Consider the following 17,667-nt stretch of genomic DNA (forward strand, 5'->3'; position numbering starts at 1 on the left):
ACTGCAGCCTCCAACTTCTGGGCCCAAGCAGTCCTGCCACCTTAGCCTCCCAAGAAACTGGGACCACAGGTGCCTGCCACCAAGCCCAGCTACTTTTTAATTGTTTTGTATAGATGAGTGGCCTCACTATGTTGCTCAGGCTGGTCTCGAACTCCTGGACTCAAGTGATCCTCCCGCCTGAGCCTCCCAGATTGCTGGGATTACAGGCATGAGCCATGGCACCCAGGACATTTCATTTCTTAATTGGATAATTGCAAAAGCTTCCTAACTGGCCATTCTGATTCTAGTCTATAGCTCAGACTTCAGAGCCTACAAGAATCACTCCTATGTTTGAGATGTAACATGCAGATTCCCAGGCCTTGAACCCAGAGATTCTGATTCAATAAAGGGTGGACCCAGAAATTTTCATTTTAATGTGCCTTGTCTTCCCCACCCCTCAAATTCTCATGCGGCTATTGAAAGAAACAGTGCTCTGATTTCACTCTCAAGTCCATCCCTTCTGGTCACAATTATCTCTGTAAAATGTAAATCTGAACATTTCTTTGCTTGATAACGTTTGTTGGTCTCCAGTGTTTACTGAATAAAGTTCTGTAAACTAGAGTGTGGCATTCAAAATGTTTCAGTCTAGACTCACTCCTATAATCTCAAAACTTCGGGAGGCTGAGGCGGGCAGATTGCTTGAGCTCAAGAGTTTGAGACCATCCTGGGCAACATGGTGAAGCCACCTGTAAAAAAAATACAAAAATTAGCTGGGCCTGGTGGTGCGCACCTGCGGTCCCAGCTACTCTGGTGGCTGAGGTGGGAGAATCACTGGAGTTCGAGAAGTCGAGGATGCAGCTGCAGTGAGCTGTGATTGTGCCACTGCACTCCAGCCTGGGCGACAGAATGAGACTACTCTGTTTCAAAAAGAAAAAAGAAAAAACTATTAAAATAAAGTGTTTCAGTCTAGCCTTATTTGTTTCAGTCTTCCTCATACTCAAATACTCCCCTTCACCACACACTATTCATCAGCCATGAAGCTTTTTGTTGTTACTCTTCCTTGAACATAGGCTGTGTATATTCTTTTTTGTTGTTGTTTTTATTTATTTAGAGACAAGGTCTGGTTCTGTTGCCCAGGTTTGAATGCAGTTGCATGATCTTGGCTCACTACAACCTCCACCTCCTGGGTTCAAGCCATCCTCCCACCTCAGCCTCCTGAGTAGCTGGCACTACAGGCACTCACCACTATGCCCGGCTAATTTTTTTTTTTTTTTTTTTTTTGTAGAGACTGGGTTTAGCCACGTTGCCCAGGCTGGTCACAAACTCATGAGCTCAGGCTATCTGCCTGCTTCAGCCTCCCAAGTGCTAGGATTAATGGGGGAGGCTATACATGTGTGGGGCTGGGGGTGTATCAGAACTCTGTACCTTCTTCTCAATTTTGCTGTGAACCTAAAACTACGCTGAAAAATAAAGTCTTTAAAAAAAAAAGTGTGCATAATGGTAACTATTGTTCTTTCTATTCATTGGCTCGGGGGAGAGATGTGATGGGTAATCCTAATTTTATTAAGGCTCTCCTGCTAACTGCCTCCAGCGCCAGACTGTGAAAGAAGGAGAGCCTTTGAAGGGAAAATTGATGGGAAGTGAGGAACACCTCCCGTCCCACTCGCCTTTGGACTAGAGGTTCTTGGAAGGAAAACACCCTTAAAGGTAGGAATGATGGAAATTCTTCTTTTTTTGAAACGGAGTCTTGCTCTGTGTCGCCCAGGCTGGAGTGCAGTGGCTTGATCTCAGCTCACTGCAGCCTTCGCCTCCCAGGTTCAAGTGATTCTCCTGCCTCAGCCTCCTGAGCAGCTAGGATTACAGGTGCAACAATTTATATTTTAAGCCTGATATTTTAAGCATTCAATAAGATCTCCAGAGGCACTTAAGGACTCCAATTTCGAAAAACTGCTGTATCCCTTCACACTCTCCTCCCTTCGTCCCTCCTGGCCAGTGTGGCCACAGGACCTCAACTGATGGCTGACATTGGGAGTTATATGTTGGTAGAAGGGCTTTGGTTCTGGGCATCTTTGAAATGATTGGTTCAGTCCCAGCATTTTCCTGGACTGAAGGGTTCTATGAAAGATAAGCTGATTTCTCACACCATGTCAACCAAATTTAGATCTCTCACTCCTCCACCCTCACCACCAGGTGACTCAGCTCCACATGAGTCAGGAAGACTAGTTTGGTTTATTGAGGAAGAAACTGAAACAGTAAAGAAGATGATGGGCCATATATTCAAAGCTACTTGATAAATATGAGGTAGAAATATGTTTCTAGGATGGGTGTGGTAGCTCACACCTCAGCACTTTGAGAGGTTGAGGTGAAGGAGCTTGAGCCAGGAGTTGGAGACCAGCCTGGACAACATAGCAAGACCCCATCTCTACAAAAAATAAACATCAGCTGGGCATGGCGGCACATGCCTGTAGTCCCAGCTACTCCAGAGGCTGAGGTGTTCAAGGCTGCAGTGAGCTATGATTGTGCCACTAGACACTAGCCTGAGCAACAGAGCAAGACAAAAGAAAAGAAAAGAAAGAAATATGTTTTAAAATCTTCCATGGAAAGGGAAAAAATAATACTAAACTTCCGGAAAAACTTTTTTTTAAAATTAATTAATTTTTTTATACAGGGTCTTGCTCTGTCACCCAGTGGTGCAGTGGTGACATCTCGGCTCACTGCAACTTCCACCTCCCAGGCTCAAGCGATCCTCCCACCTCAGCCTCCCGACCAGCTGGGACTACAGGCGCATACTACCATGCCTGGCTAATTTTCTGGGGTTTCGCCATGTTGCCCAGGCTGGTCTCAAACTCTTGAACTCAGGCAATCCCTCAGCCTTGGCCTCCCAAAGTGCTGGGATTACAGGCAGGAGCCACCGTGCCTGGCCTAGGAAAGCTTCTGAGGAGTCAAGGGATTCTTTTTATTCCCACTGCCTGACTCCAGCTTCCTCTTAGACACTCCGTGAGCCCCCTCATTTTAAGGCCTTGTGAACATTAGAGAAACACTCTGGAGAGAAGCAGTCAATTCTGTGGAGGTGCATGGGGGAAAAGGCCTGAATCACCTCCTTTCATCTTTAGTAAGACACCCTCTTTCATGGGCCTCCAAGTGTGACCCGATAATGTAGCAGAGAATGGTAACCATGGATGGTTGTAAAAAATGATAAATGGCTGGGGGCCATGGCTCATGCCTGTAATCCCAGCACTTTGGGAGGCCAAGGTAGGCAGATCACTTGAGCTCAGGAGTTCAAGACCAGCCTGGGTAACATGGCAAAACCCCATCTCTACAAAAAGTACAAAAATTAGCTGGGCATAGTGGAGTGCACTTGTAGTCCCAGCTATTCAGGAAGCTGAGGCAGGAGGATGGCTTGAGCCTGGGAGGCAGAGGTTGCAGTGAGCTGAGATTGTGCCACTGCACTCCAGCCTGGGTGACAGGGTGAGACCCAGTTCCCTGCCCTCCCACCAAAAAAACGATAAATAACCCCAAGTAAACATGTCATGTTTCAGAATTAGACAAATTGTGACAATATTTTCCCAAACTTTTAAATTTTGTATAAGAAGCATTTTCAGGCCAGGCACGGTGGCTCACGCCTGTAATCCCAGCACTTTGGGAGGCCGAGGCAGGCGGATCACGAGGTCAGGAGATCGAGACCATCCTGGCTAACACAGTGAAATGCTGTCTCTACTAAAAATACAAAAAATTAGTTGGGCGTGGTGGCGGGCGCCTGTAGTCCCAGCCACTTGGGAGGCTGAGGCAGGAGAATGGCGTGAAGCCAGGAGGCGGAGCTTGCAGTGAGCCGAGATCGCGCCACTGCACTCCAGCCTGGGCGACAGAGCAAGACTCCGTCTCAAAAAAAAAAAAAAAAAAAAAAAAGAAGCGTTTTCATGGGAGGGGCATGTAATTCTTTGAAGGTGTTGAGAGTCGTGCATTGTATATTGGGCAAATGAAGCCTTCGCGTTTTCTTTTTATTTTTTTTTTGAGACAGGATCTTGCTCTGTCTCCCCGGCTGCAATTTTTATTCTTGGAAGATCTAGCCTTCTTCTGTCCAGATACCCTAGAAGTCTCAGTAACAGGAATTTTTTTTTTTTTTTTTTTTTGAGACAGAGTTTTGCTCTTGTTGCCCAGGGCTGGAGTGCAATGGCGCAATCTCGGCTCACCGCAACCTCCGCCTACCGGGTTCAAGTGATTCGCCTGCCTCAGCCTCCTGAGTAGCTGGGATTACAGGCATGCACCACCACGCCTGGCTAATTTTGTATTTTTCGTATGTTGGTTAGGCTGGTCTCGAACTCCCGACCTCAGGTGATCCGCCTGCCTCGGCCTCCCAAAATGCTGGGATTATAGGCATGAGCCACCGCGCCTGGCCAGTACCTAGGTTTTTTTAGGGGATCGATGCAACTCTTGGCCAAAGGTGTTCATAATCTACCCAGCAATGCCCCCAGGTCCTAGTCTGTGGTTCTCCAGGAAAGCAAAGCAGCAATTTCCCACCCTTCCTGTCAGCTCGAAAACCACGTGGAAAGTGCAATCAGAGAAAAAGGCATTGGTGTGACTAAGGAGGAAAACACTTTGTCTCTCCAGAAGCTGGGGCAGTTCTGGGATGGTGCCAGGGGCTTTTATTAATTAAAGTATTTCTTTAGGGAATGCTCTGATGCTTTTCCTAAGTGTCAGCAGAGGCTGGGAGGAAACAAAGGCTATGGAGTTCAGGCGTACCTGGTTTCCCAGGAATTCCGCATAGTCCTGCTACGTTTTGCTTTCTGGAACGAAGCCAACAGTCTGGCCACAGCTGAACCATCTCATGTATGAATGAGAGTGGAGATTTGAGAAAAAAGTGAAGGAGAGGAGAAGACCACCTTTTACTGACCACCCCTATCTGTGCCAAGCCCTGTGCTCAGGTCTTTGGATAGTTTTATTTATTCCTTATCATAACCATTAAGGGATTATCTTTTTTCTATTTTTCTATAAGGTAAAATCAAAGCCCAAGAAGACTAGGTTTCACCAAAAATCACATAATTCTTGCCTAACAAAGATGAGCAAATAAAAGAAAAATCACATAATTCTTTTTTTCTTTTTTTGAGAAAGGGTCTCGCTCTGTCACCAAGGCTGGAGTGCAGTGGCACCATCTTGGCTCACTGCAACCTCCACCTCCTGGGTTCAAGCAATAATCCTGCCTCAGCCTCCCAAGCAAGTAGCTGAGACTACAGGTGCCCTCCACCACGCCCAGCTAATTTTTGTATTTTTAGTAGAGATGGGGTTTCACCCTGTTGGCCAGGCTGGTCTTGAACTCCTGACCTCAGGTGATCCACTCACCACGGCCTTCCAAAGTGCTGGGATCACAAGTGTGAGCCATGATGCCCTGCCGAAAATCAGACAATTCTTAAGTGTTGGTGCCAGAACTCCAACCAATCTCAGTCTCTCTCCATAAAGCACACATTTTCCCCAGCACTAGTTCAGTGATTAAGAGTAAGGCTTGGGGGAGGGATAGCACTAGGAGGAATACCTAATATAGGTGATGGGTTGATGGGTGTAGCAAACCACCATGGCACATGTATACCTGTGTAACAAACCTGCACATTCTACACATGTACCCCAGAACTTAAAGTATAATTTTTAAAAAAAAATCTAAAAAAAAAAGAGTAAGGCTTGGGACCAGGCACAGTGGCTCATGCTTGTAATTCCAACACTTTGAGAGGCCGAGGTGGGTGGATCACCCACTGGGAGTTTGAGACCAGCCTGGCCAATGTGGTGAAAAAACCCTGTCTCTACTAAAAATAAAAAAATTAGCCAGGCATGGTGGCAGGTGCCTATAATCCCAGCTACTTGGGAGGCTGAGGCACAAGAATTGCTTGATCTTGGGAGGTGGAAGTTGTAGCTAGGTGAGATTGAGAGGTGACAGCGTGCTGGCAGTCCTCAGAGCCCTCGCTTGCTCTCAGCACCTCCCCTGCCTGGGCTCCCACTTTGGTGGCATTTGAGGAGCCCTTCAGTACCCCACTGCACTGTGGGAGCCCCTTTCTGGGCTGGCCAAGGCCGGAGCCCACTCCCTCAGCCTGCAGGGAGGTGTGGAGGGAGAGACACGAGCGGGAACCGGGGCTGTGTGCGGCACTTGCGGGCCAGCTGGAGTTCTGGGTGGATGTGGGCTTGGTGGGCCCCGCACTCGGAGCCGCCAGCCAGCCCTGCTGGCCCCGGGCAATGGGGAACTTAGCACCCGGGCCAGTGGCTGCGGAGGGTGTACCGAGTCCCCCAGCAGTGCTGTCCCACCGGCGCTGCGCTCGATTTCTCGCCGGGCCTTGGCTGCCTTCCCACAGGGCAGGGCTCGGGACCTGCAGCCCGCCATGCCTGAGCCTCCCACCCACTCCATGGGCTCCTGTGCGGCCCGAGCTTCCCCGACGAGCGCCACCCTCTGCTCCACGGCGCGCAGTCCCATCGACCACCCAGGGGCTGAGCAATGCGAGCGCACGGCGCAGGACTAGCAGGCAGCTCCACCTGCAGCCCCTGTGCGGGATCCATCAAGTGAAGCCAGCTGGGCTCCTGAGTCTGGTGGGGACGTGGAGAGTCTTTATATCTAGCTCAGGAATTGTAAATACACCAATCAGCACCCTGTGTTTAGTTCAAGGTTTGTGAGTGCACCAATCGACACTCTGTATCTAGCTGCTCTAGGCCTTGGAGAACCTGTGTGTGGAAACTCTGTATCTAACTAATCTGATGGGGACGTGGAGAACTTTTGTATCTAGCTCAGGGATTGTAAACGCACCAATCAGCGCCCTGAGAAAACAGGCCACTGGGCTCTACCAATCAGCAGGATGTGGGTGGGGCCAGATAAGAGAATAAAAGCAGGCTGCCCGGGCCAACATTAGCAACGTGCTCGGGTCCCCTTCCACACTGTGGAAGCTTTGTTCTTTCGCTGTTTGCAATAAATCTTGCTACTGCTCACTCTTTGGGTCCATGCTGTATTTATGAGCTGTAACACTCACCGCGAAAATCTGCGGCTTCACTTCTGAGCCCAGTGAGACTACAAGCCCACCGGGAGGAAGGAACAACTCCAGATACGCTGCCTTAAGAGCTGTAACACTCACCGCGAAGATCTGCGGCTTTATTCCTGAGCCAGCGAGACCACGAACCCACGAGAAGGAAGAAACTCCAAACACATCTGAATATCAGAAGGGACAGGCTCCAGACACACCACCTTAAGAGCTGTAACGCACACCGCGAGGGTCCACGGCTTCATTCTTGAAGTCAGTGAGACCAAGAAGCCACCACTTCCGGACACAAGATAATGCCACTGCACTCCAGTTTGGGCAACACAGTGAGACTCTCAAAAAAAAAAAAAAAAAAAGTAAAGTGTAGGAGTGTGGACTGGTATGTACTCTGCTAAACCTGTTTCCTCACCTACAAAATTAAGGCATGTCGGCAGGGCGCGGTGGCTCACGCCTGTAAGCCCAGCACTTTGGGAAGTCGAGGCGGGTGGACCACCTGAGGTCAGGAGTTTGAGACCAGCCTGGTCAACATGGCGCAACCCCGTCTCTACCTAAAATAAAAAAATAGCCAGGCATGGTAGTGCATGCCTGTAATCGCAGCTACTCAGGAGGCTGAGGCAGGAGAATTGCTTGAGTCCAGGAGGCAGAGGTTCCAGTGAGCCGAGATCGTGCCATTGCACTCCAGCCTGGGCTGGAACTCAGCCTGGGCTGAAACTGGAAAAAAATAAAAAATAAAAAAAATAAGGCTTGTCGTAGAATCTACCACAGAGGTTCTCATGAGGCACAAAATGTTTGAAAATGCTTGGCATGTGCCTGGCACATAAAAAGCCCCCAGTGATGTTATTATTGTCCTTGAACTACATCATGAAGCATTATGGCTCAGAATATGCACTGGGATAGGAGTTGGTAGATTTAGCGTATTAATTAGGATGCAGAATAAAAAAAATTCTGTAAAAGTTATGGATTAGGCTGGGCACCATGGCTCATCCTTATAATCCCAGTGCTGTGGGAGGCCGAGGCGGGTGGATTGCTTGAGCTCAGGAGTGTGTGGTTTTTTTTTTTGTTTGTTTTCTTTTTTTGAGATGGAGTCTTGCTCTTGTTGTCTAGGCTGAAGTGCAGTGGCATGATCTCGGCTTACCGCAACCTCTGCCTCCCAGGTTCAAGCGATTCTCCTGCCTCAGCCTTCTGAGTAGCTGAGATTATAGGCACCCGCCATCATGCCCAGCTAATTTTTGTATTTTTTTTTTTTTTTTTTTTTTTAGTAGAGACAGGGTTTCACCATGTTGGCCAGGCTGGTCTTGAACTCCTGACCTCAGGTGATCCGCCCATCTTGGCCTTCCAAAGTGGTGAAATTACAGGTGTGAGCTACTGCACCCAGCTGAGCTCACGAGTTTGAGTCCAGACTGGACAACATAGCAAAACCCCATCTCTACAAAAGAAGATACACACACACACACACACACACACACACACACACACACACACTCTCTCTCTCTCTCTCTCTCTCTCTCTCTCTCTCTCTCTCTCTCACTCACTCACTCACTGGCTGTGGCGGTATGCGCCTGTAGCCCCAGCTACCCTGGAGACTGAGATGAGAGGATCACTTGAGCCTGGGAGGTGGAGGTTGCAGCAAGCCAAGATGGCACCACTGTACTGCAGCCTGGGGGACAGAGCCAGAACTTGTCTCAAAAAAAGAAAAAAAAGTTGAGTTAATAATGATAGTTAGGATACAGGCTGAGCCACTACGGTTGTTTTAAAATATGTCCACACATTCTTTGATACTCCTCCCTTTAAAAAGTGGAGCCTAGTTCTCACCCCCTTGAGCTTGGGCAGGATTTGGTGACTTTTTCTTAAAAAAGAAATTTATTTTAATTCTTAATTTTTAATTTTTTTTTTTTTTTGAGATTCACTCTTGCTGTCCAGGCTGGAGTGCAATGGCGCGATCTTGGTTCACTGTAACCTCTAATTTTGTGTTTTTAGTAGACATGGGGTTTCTCCATTTTGGTCAGGTTGATCTCGGACTCCCGACCTCAGGTGATCTGCCTACCTCAGGCTCCCAAAGTGCTGGGATTACAGGCATGAGCCACGGTGCCCGGCCGTATTTTTTGTTTTTAATTTTAATTTTTTTTTTCTTGAAACAGTGTCTCGTTCTGTCACCCAGGCTGGAGTGCAGTGGCTCAATTCTAGCTCACTGCTTCCTCCAACTTCTGGGTTCAAGCAATCCTCCCACCTCAGGCTCCCGAGTAGCAAGGACTACAGGTGTGTACCACCATGCCTAGCTGTTTATTTTGTTTTGATTTTTGGAGAGATAGGGTCTTGCTATGTTGCCCAGCTGGTCTTGAACTCCTGGCCTCCCACCTTGGCCTCCCAAGGTGATGGGATTACAAAGAACTTGGCGACTTTTCTAGCAAATAGAATGAAAGGGAGGTGACAGTGCTTGACTTGGGACTGGAGACTGGGTTATAAAAATGCACGGCAGTTTCCTTCTGGGCCACTCCTTATTTCTGGTCATTTGCTCTGGGGGAAGCCAAGAACCGCCTCACAAAGACACTCACCTGTGGAGAAGCCACGCGATGAGGAGCTGCGGTCTCTGACAGCAGCCAGAGTGGATGAACGTGGGAGTGAATATTCTAGTCCTGAGCTAGCAGTTCTGGATGGCTGTGGTCCCCACCAATACTCTGGCTGCAGCCTCAGAAGGGATCCTGAGGCAGCTGAGCTGCTCCTCAGTTCCTAACCCACAGAAACTATGAGACAAGAAATGGTTTTAAATTTTTTTAATTTTAATTTTAATTAATTGTATAATTTATATTTTTGAGAGAGAGTCTCACTCTGTTGCCCAGGCTGGAGTGCAGTGGTTCAGTCTCAGCTCACTGAAACTTCTGCCTCCTGGGTTCAAACAATTTTCATATCTCAGCCTCCTAGGTAGCTGGGACTGCAGGCATGCACCACCATGCCAGGCTAATTTTTGTATTTTTAGTAAAGACAGGGTTTCACCATGTTGGCCAGGCTGGTCTTGAACTCCTGGCCTCAAATGATCGACCAGTCTCAGCCTCCCAGAGTGCTGGAATTACAGATGTGAGGCACTGCACCAGGCCTAATTTTTATTTATTTATTTATGAATTTTTGATACGGGGTCTTGCTCTGTTGCCCGGGCTGGAGTGCAGTGGCATGATCTGGGCTCACTACAACCTCCACCTCCCAGGCTCAAGCGATTCTCCTGCCTCAGCCTCCCAAGTAGCTGGCATTACGGGCACCCGCCACCTCGCTTAGCTAATTTTTGTATTTTTATTAGAGGCAGGATTTCACCATGCTGGCCAGGCTGGTCTCGAACTCCTGACCTCAGGTGATTCACCTGCCTTGGCCTCCCAAAGTGCTGGGATTACAGGTGTGAGCCACTGTGCCCGGCCAATTTTTATTTTTAAGACAAGGTCTCATTTTGTTGCCCAGGCTGGAGTATACTAGTGTGATCATAGCTCACTGCAACCTTAAACTCCTGGGCTTGAGCAAACATTCTGCCTCAGCCTCCTGAGTAGCTAGGACTGCAGGTGCAAGCCACTATGCCCAGCTAATTTTTAATTTTTTTTTTTTTTTGAAGAGATGGGTTCTTGTTATGTTGCCCAGGCTGGCATTGAACTTCTGGCCTCAAGTGATCCTCCTGCCTGGGCCTCCCACGTTTTTTGTTTCAAACTACTGTGTTGTGGGGTAATTTGTTACTTAGCAATTGATAAATGATATAGCTACTGTAACAAACAGACGTAAAAATACCAGAGTGCTCCAACAATCCAGTTTATTTCTGTCTCATAAATATTCCAAAGAAAGTAGAAAGTGCAGGGCAAGGAGGTGGTTCTGATTCACAAAGCCTTCGGGAGATCCAGGTTCTTTTTCTATGTGGGTGTGTCCTGAGACGTGTTCCTTGTTCATAAGGTCTGGTCTTATCTTATCTCAACAGTTAGATATTTTATGTCCCAACTCAAAGGAAGGATACCAAAGAATGAAGAAACAGCATTTTCCTTATAAGAAACAGAGCATTATTTTCATTCACATTGCTGAGAATGTAGTCACTGCAAAGGAGGCTGTGGACTGTGGTCTCTAGCCCAATAGTTATGTGTCTGGTTAAAGCCTGGGGCAGGTGTTTCAATAAAAGGAAGAAGGGGAGAATGGAATCTGGTGGATGCCTAGAAATTTCTCCATACTTGAGTCCTGGTTTGCTTACTTTCTCTGTGACTTCCAGTTATTCGCCTTTGTATCTCAGTTTTCTCATTTATAAAGTGAAGAATAAGATTGGTGATTTTCGATTTTTTTTTTGTACCTTAACCTTTTCCTTTCTCTTCTTTCTTTCTTTCTCTCTCTCTCTTTCTTTCTTCCTTTCTTTCTTCCTTCCTCTCTCTTTCTCTCTCTCCCTTTCCTTCCTTCCTTCCTTTCTTCATTCTTTCTTTCGATGGAGTTTTGCTCTTGTTGCCCGGGCTGGAGTGCAATGGTGCCATCTTGGCTCACTGCAACCTCTGCCTCCCAAGTTCAAGCAATTCTCCTGCCACGGCCTCCCTAGTAGCTGGGATTAGAGGCGCCCACCACCATGCCCCACTAATTTTTGTATTTGTAGTAGAGACGATGTTGGCCAAGCTAGTCTTGAACTCCTGACCTCAGGCGATCCACCCGGCTTAGCCTCCCAAAGTGCTGGGATTACAGGCGTGAGCCACCGTGCCCGGCCAGCTTAACCTTTTTTTTTTTTGAGATGGAGTCTCACTCTGTTGTCCAGGATGGAGTGCAATGGCGGGATCTTGGCTTACTGAAGCTTCCGCCTCCCTGGTTCAAGCGATTCTCCTGCCTCAGCCTCCCGAGTAGAGTAGCTGGGATTACAGGTGCCCACCACCATGCCCAGCTAATTTTTTTTTTTTTTTTTTTTTTTTTTTTTTTTTTTTTTGGAGACGGAGTCTGGCTCTGTCTCCCAGGCTGGAGTTCTGGAGTGCAGTGGCGCGATCTCGGCTCACTGCAAGCTCCGCCTCCCGGGTTCACGCCATTCTCCTGCCTCAGCCTCCCGAGTAGCTGGGACTATAGGCACCCGCCACCATGCCCAGCTAATTTTTTGTATTTTTTTTTTAAGTAGAGACGGGGTTTCACTGTGTTAGCCAGGATGGTCTCGATCTCCTGACCTTGTGATCCGCCTGCCTCGGCCTCCCAGAGTGCTGGGATTACAGGCGTGAGCCACCGCACCCGGCCATTTTTTTTTTTTTTTTTTTTTAAGTAGAGATGGTGTTTCACCATGTTGACTAGGCTGGTCTTGAGCTTCTGACCTCAAGTGATCTGCCTGCCTCGGCCTCCCAAAGAGCTGGGATTACAGGTGTGAACTACTACGCATGACCTGTAGCTTAGTCTTTTAATGCAGTCATTTTTAAAAAAAGAGATGTGGTCTCAACATGTTGTCCAGGCGGGAATGCAGTGGCTATTCACAGGCATGATCCCACTACTGATCAGTACAGGAGTTTTGACATGCTCCGTTTCTGACCTGGGTGAGTTCATCCCTCTTTAGGCAACCTTGATAGCCCTCAGCTCCTGGGAGGTCACCATATTGATGCCAAATTCAGTGTAGACATTTAACTGGCATAGCGCACTGCAGCCTAGAATTCTTGGGCTCAAGCAATCCTCCCACCTCAGCCTCCTGAGTAGCTGGGACACAAGTATGGGCCACTGCACCCGGCTCATGTGCAGTAATATAGTTAATTTAATTAACTTATTTAAATATTTAATTGAGGTGAAATGTACAAACTGTATGTATAAAAAATAAAAATATCCAGGCATGGTGGCTCATGCCTGTAATCCCAGCACTTTGGGAGGTTGAGGCAGAAGGATGGCTTGAGCTAGGAGTTTGAGACCAGATTGGGCAACTTGGTGAGATCCCATCTCTACAAAAATAAAAGCATTAGCTGGGTTTGGTGGTGAGCACCTGTAGTCCCAGCTCCTTGGCAGTCGGAGGCGGGAAGGTTGCTTGAGCCAGGGAGGTCAAGGCTACAGTGAGCTTGGATTATATCACTGCACTCCCATTCCAGCCGAAGTGACAAAGTGAGACCCTGTCTCTAAAATAATTTTAAAAATACAGTAAAAAATAAAAATAGACCTGCTTTGTTTGAATCACAGTAGGATTTCTCTCTCTGTCCCCATTCCACATCAGTGGCCCCTTTGAAAGTTATTTAAAATACTAGGGCTCTGTCAAGCACTGTCCAAAAATCACCAAACTAGAAGTTCTCCTGGATTCCTTCCAGTTCTGGTATTTTTGAGGTTGTGATCATTCACCTGTGTGCCCTGAACTGGGTTGGATCACAGGCTTGTCTTGCTTGGCTGCTGTGAGCTTTTTGTACTTGGCCTGCATTGGCCGAGGAAAATGCTCTGGCTATCCAGACTCACGTCACTTCCTTTCACCCCTCATGAGGAAGGGGCATACCTCTCCTTTCTCCTAATGCAAGCGACGGTCCCCTTCCTTCCGGGACCAGGGGCCAAAGTGCGGTGGGGCTGGGATGGAGTGTTGTGGGTTGCTAGTATGCATCCCCCCACCGACCTCTGCGCTGCACCTCTCTCCTGGTGTTGGACTTGCAGATTGTTGGAGCGGACTCTGCCTCTCTCCCCAGGTTAATGTTTTTACTCACCCTCTGGCCTTGTCCTCTTGTAGGCTGCCATTGGTTTGGACTGGAATCAAGAGCTCAGGCTCCGTCAAGGTTATAGACTGAGGATATGAATTTACCCAGCCCAAACTCAGTTTGTGAGTAAACTCCGGAGGCCAGAGAGGAGGGGCCTGAATTCATCTTGGTATCTCTCCAGAACACAAACTGCTTCAGGGAAAGTTACCCAGGAGGAGGGGGCATTCGGCCTTTTCCTGGGCAGACCTTCAGAAAGAAGCCTGCCTGGGAACTGATAAACACATCTCCCTCTCTGGTTCCCAAGGACAGGGCTTGGCCTCTATCCACTTGTTTCCAAAGTTCCTTCCTGAGTGGCCTGCCTGTGTTAGCTACCTTCTCCCAGCCTGGCTCCAGTTGCTGGGTGGGAATCCAGCTGGGGGCTTAAGTGTCTGCTGTATCAGGGAAAACAAAATCTTAGGCCATTCTGAAGTCCAGAAACCACTGCCCAAAAACTAAGAGCATTCCTAGAATGGCTGGGAGAGGAGTGGGGATTGGGAGAAGATGAGAGAAGGTGAACTAGCCTGAGTTCCCTTTTTTCTTTTTGAGGTGGAGTCTCACTCCATTGTCCAGGTTGGAGTGAAGTGGCGTGATTTCGGCTCACTGCAACCTCTGCCTCCTGGGTTCAGTTGATTCTCATGACTCAGCCTCCCAAGTAGCTGGGACTACAGGTGTGTGCCACCATGCCTGGATAATTTTTGTATTTTTAGTAGAGACGGGGTTTTGCCATGTTGGACAGGCTGGGCTTGAACTCCTGACCTCAGGTGATCTGCCCACCTTGGCCTCCCAAAGAGCTGGGATTACAGGGTGAGCCACTTCACCTGGCCTAGCCTGAGTTCTTAAGATGAAGAACTCAGATGAACTCTTAAGATGAATAACTTTTTTTTTTGAGACAGGATCTTGCTTTGTCACCCAGCTTGGAGTGCAGAGGCTTGATCACAGCTCACTGCAACCTCCAACTCCTAGGCTTATGCCATCCTCCTGCCTCAGATTCCCAAGTAGCTGGGACTACAGGCATGTGCCACCGCGCCCGCTAATTTTTCTGTTTTTTGTAGAGACAAGAGTCTCTCTTTGTTTCCCAGGCTGGTATTGAACTCCTGGCCTCAAGTGATCCTCTTGCCTTGGCCTCACAAAGTGCTGGGAGTACAGGTATGAGCCACAACACCTGGCCTCCCTTTCAGCTTTTTAAGAGAAACCAGAACCCCACATTTCATATTAAGTTTTCTAGTTATTGAAGCAGTGTACAGAAAACAAAACACCCTCTTCTGTAGGCTTTGCTCTTGGGCTTTTCGTTTGCAAGCCCTGGTTTAAAGCCTTTGACAGATACATCCTTCTCCATGTACTTTTGCTTCACCAATGACCAATTTCTCAAACCATGTTAGAGATGAGCTCTGTCATTTGTCTAGATTTCCATGGAGAAAGGTCTTCATGGTTAGTCAAGGGACTCATATTAGATCCCTATTGCTGCTGTAGTAAATAACCACAAGCTTAATGGCTTAAAGGACACAAATTTATTCTCTTCGTTAGGTAGGTCAGAAGTCTGACACAGATCTCATTGGGCTAAAATCAAGCCTGTCAGTAGGGCTGTGTTGATGAAGAGTCAAACTCTGTAAAATACTTAAAGAGGTTTATTCTGAGCTAAATATGAATGACCATGGCCAAAGGGACAGTCTCAAGAGGTCCTGAGAAAATGTGCCCAAGGTCATTGGGTTACAGCTTGGATTTATACAGACATAAGACATCAATCAGTATATGTGAGGTACACATGGGTTCAGTCTGGAAAGGCAGGACAACCCGAAGCAGAGCTTACAGGTCACAGGTGGATTCAAGGATTTTATGATTGGCAGTTGGTTGAAAGAGTTATTATCTAAAGACCTGGAATCAACAGAAAGTGGTGTCTGAGTATAGGTAAGGGTGTGCAGAAATGAGAGTTATTATGTAGATGAAGTCTTATAGGTGGCTGCCCTTAGAGACAATAAATGGCAAATGTTTCCTATTTAGACCTTTAAAAGATGCTACACTCTAGCTAATCTCTTCAGGATTGGGAGGGTCTGGAAGAGGAAAGATCTAGTTAATAGACATTATTATTATTATTATTATTCTTTTGAGACATCACCTCACTCTATTGACCAGGCTGGAGTGCAGTGGCACAATCTTGGCTCACTGCAACCTCTGCCTCCTGGGTTCAAGCAATCCTCCCACCTCAGCCTCCCAGCTAGCTGGGACTATAGGTATGCGCCATCATGCCTGGCTAATTTTTGTATTTTTTGTCTTCCTATATTGCCCAGGCTGGTCTCAAACTCCTAGGCTCAAACGATCTGCCCGCCTTGGCCTCCCAAAGTGCTGGGATTACAGACGTTAGCCTCTGCACCTGACTGTTTCCTTCTTTGCCTTTCATGTGATGTTGTGCCAGAGTCAGGTTGGAAAGTAAGCCGTGTTATATAGGGTTAAATAAAACCCACCTGATGAGATTTTACGATTTGTAGAAGGTGAATCCTGGGGCCCCTAAGAAAGGAATTTGGGGTTGGGCGCAGTGGCTCACGCCTGTAATCCTAGCACTTTGGGAAGTTGAGGCGGGTGGATCACTTGAGGTCAGGAGTTCGTGACCAGCCTGGCCAACATAGTGAAACCCCATCTCTACTAAAAATACAAAAAATTAGCCTCAAGTGGTGGCATGTGGTGGCGTGTGCCTGTAGTCCCAGCTACTCGAGTGGCTGAGGCACAAGAATTGCTTGAATCCGGGAGGTGGAGGTTGCAGTGAGCCCAGATCACACCACTACACTCCAGCCTGGGTGACAGAGCAAGACTCCATCTCCAAAACAAAAAAAAAAAAAAGGAATTTGGGCAAGACAGGAAAAAGGCTAGAGTTTAGATCTCAGCTGTGTTCCTTTCTGGAGGATTGAGGGAAGAATCCACTTTCTTGCCTTTTCCAGTTTCTAAAGGCCACCCACATTCCTTAGTTTATGCCCCTCTTCTTTTTTATTAAATAATTCATTTTTAATTGCTGAATAGTATTCCATTGCACAACATTTTTTTTTTCTTCATAGAAACAGGGTCTCGCTATGTTGCCCAGGCTGGTCTTGAACTCCTGGGCTCGAGCCATCCACCCGCCTCAGCCTCCCAACATGCTGGGATTACGTGTGTGAGCCACTGCCCCTCTTCTTCATCAAAGCCAGCAAATGGGGCCTAGGTGAGCCTAGGTGGCTCACATCTGTAATCCCAGCATTTTGGGAAGCCAAGGCAGACAGATCGTTTCAGCCTAGGTGCTGGGATTATGTGTGTGAGCCACTGCCCCTCTTCTTCATCAAAGCCAGCAAATGGGGGTCCAGCCCTTCTCACATCAAACTTCTCACCACAAAACAGGTTCACCACTTTTTAATTTTAATTTTTTTTTTTATAGAGACAGGGTCTTGTTCTGTTGCCCAGGCTGGAGTGCAGTGGCAGGATCATAGATCACAGTAGTCTCGAATTCCTGGGCTCAAGTGATCCTCCCACCTCTGCCTTGGGAGACTCGACCCCTCTCTACAAACAAATAAACATCTTAAAAATTAGCTAGGAATGGTTTTAACCTAGCTAATTTTTAAAACTATGCCTGGCTAATTTTTAAAATGTTTGTTTGTTTGTTTGTAGAGATGCCCTGGCTGGTCTCAGACTCCTGGCCTCAAGCTATCCTCGTGCCTTGGCCTCCCAAAATGATAGGATTACAGGTGTGAACCACTGCGCCCAGCTGGTTCTCTACTTTGAAGGATTCCTATGATTGGGCTCATTCAGATACTCCAGGGTAATATCCTCATCTCAAGGTTGTCATTTTAATCAAGGGCAAAGTCCCTTTGGTCAGCTAAAGGGACATATTCGCAAGTTCTAGGGATTTGGGTGTGAACAGGGCTTTCTCATAAACTTTTGAATCTCTTGCCTCTTCATCCCACTCAAAAAAAAGTAATAAGGACAGAAACTTATGATAAACAGGCTTTATCTTTCCTTATAATCTGGACCATTTTTCTTCTATTCAGTCCTTTTCTTTA

General features: G+C 47.5%; 1 pseudogene; it reads right to left on the reverse strand.

Annotated features, from left to right (window-relative positions):
- Nucleotides 12,378-12,676, reverse strand: RN7SL621P (RNA, 7SL, cytoplasmic 621, pseudogene; annotated as a pseudogene).

The sequence above is a fragment of the Homo sapiens genome, chromosome 8 (genome assembly GCF_000001405.40).
Source record: "Homo sapiens chromosome 8, GRCh38.p14 Primary Assembly".
In the NCBI taxonomy this organism is placed as follows: Eukaryota; Metazoa; Chordata; class Mammalia; order Primates; family Hominidae; genus Homo; species Homo sapiens.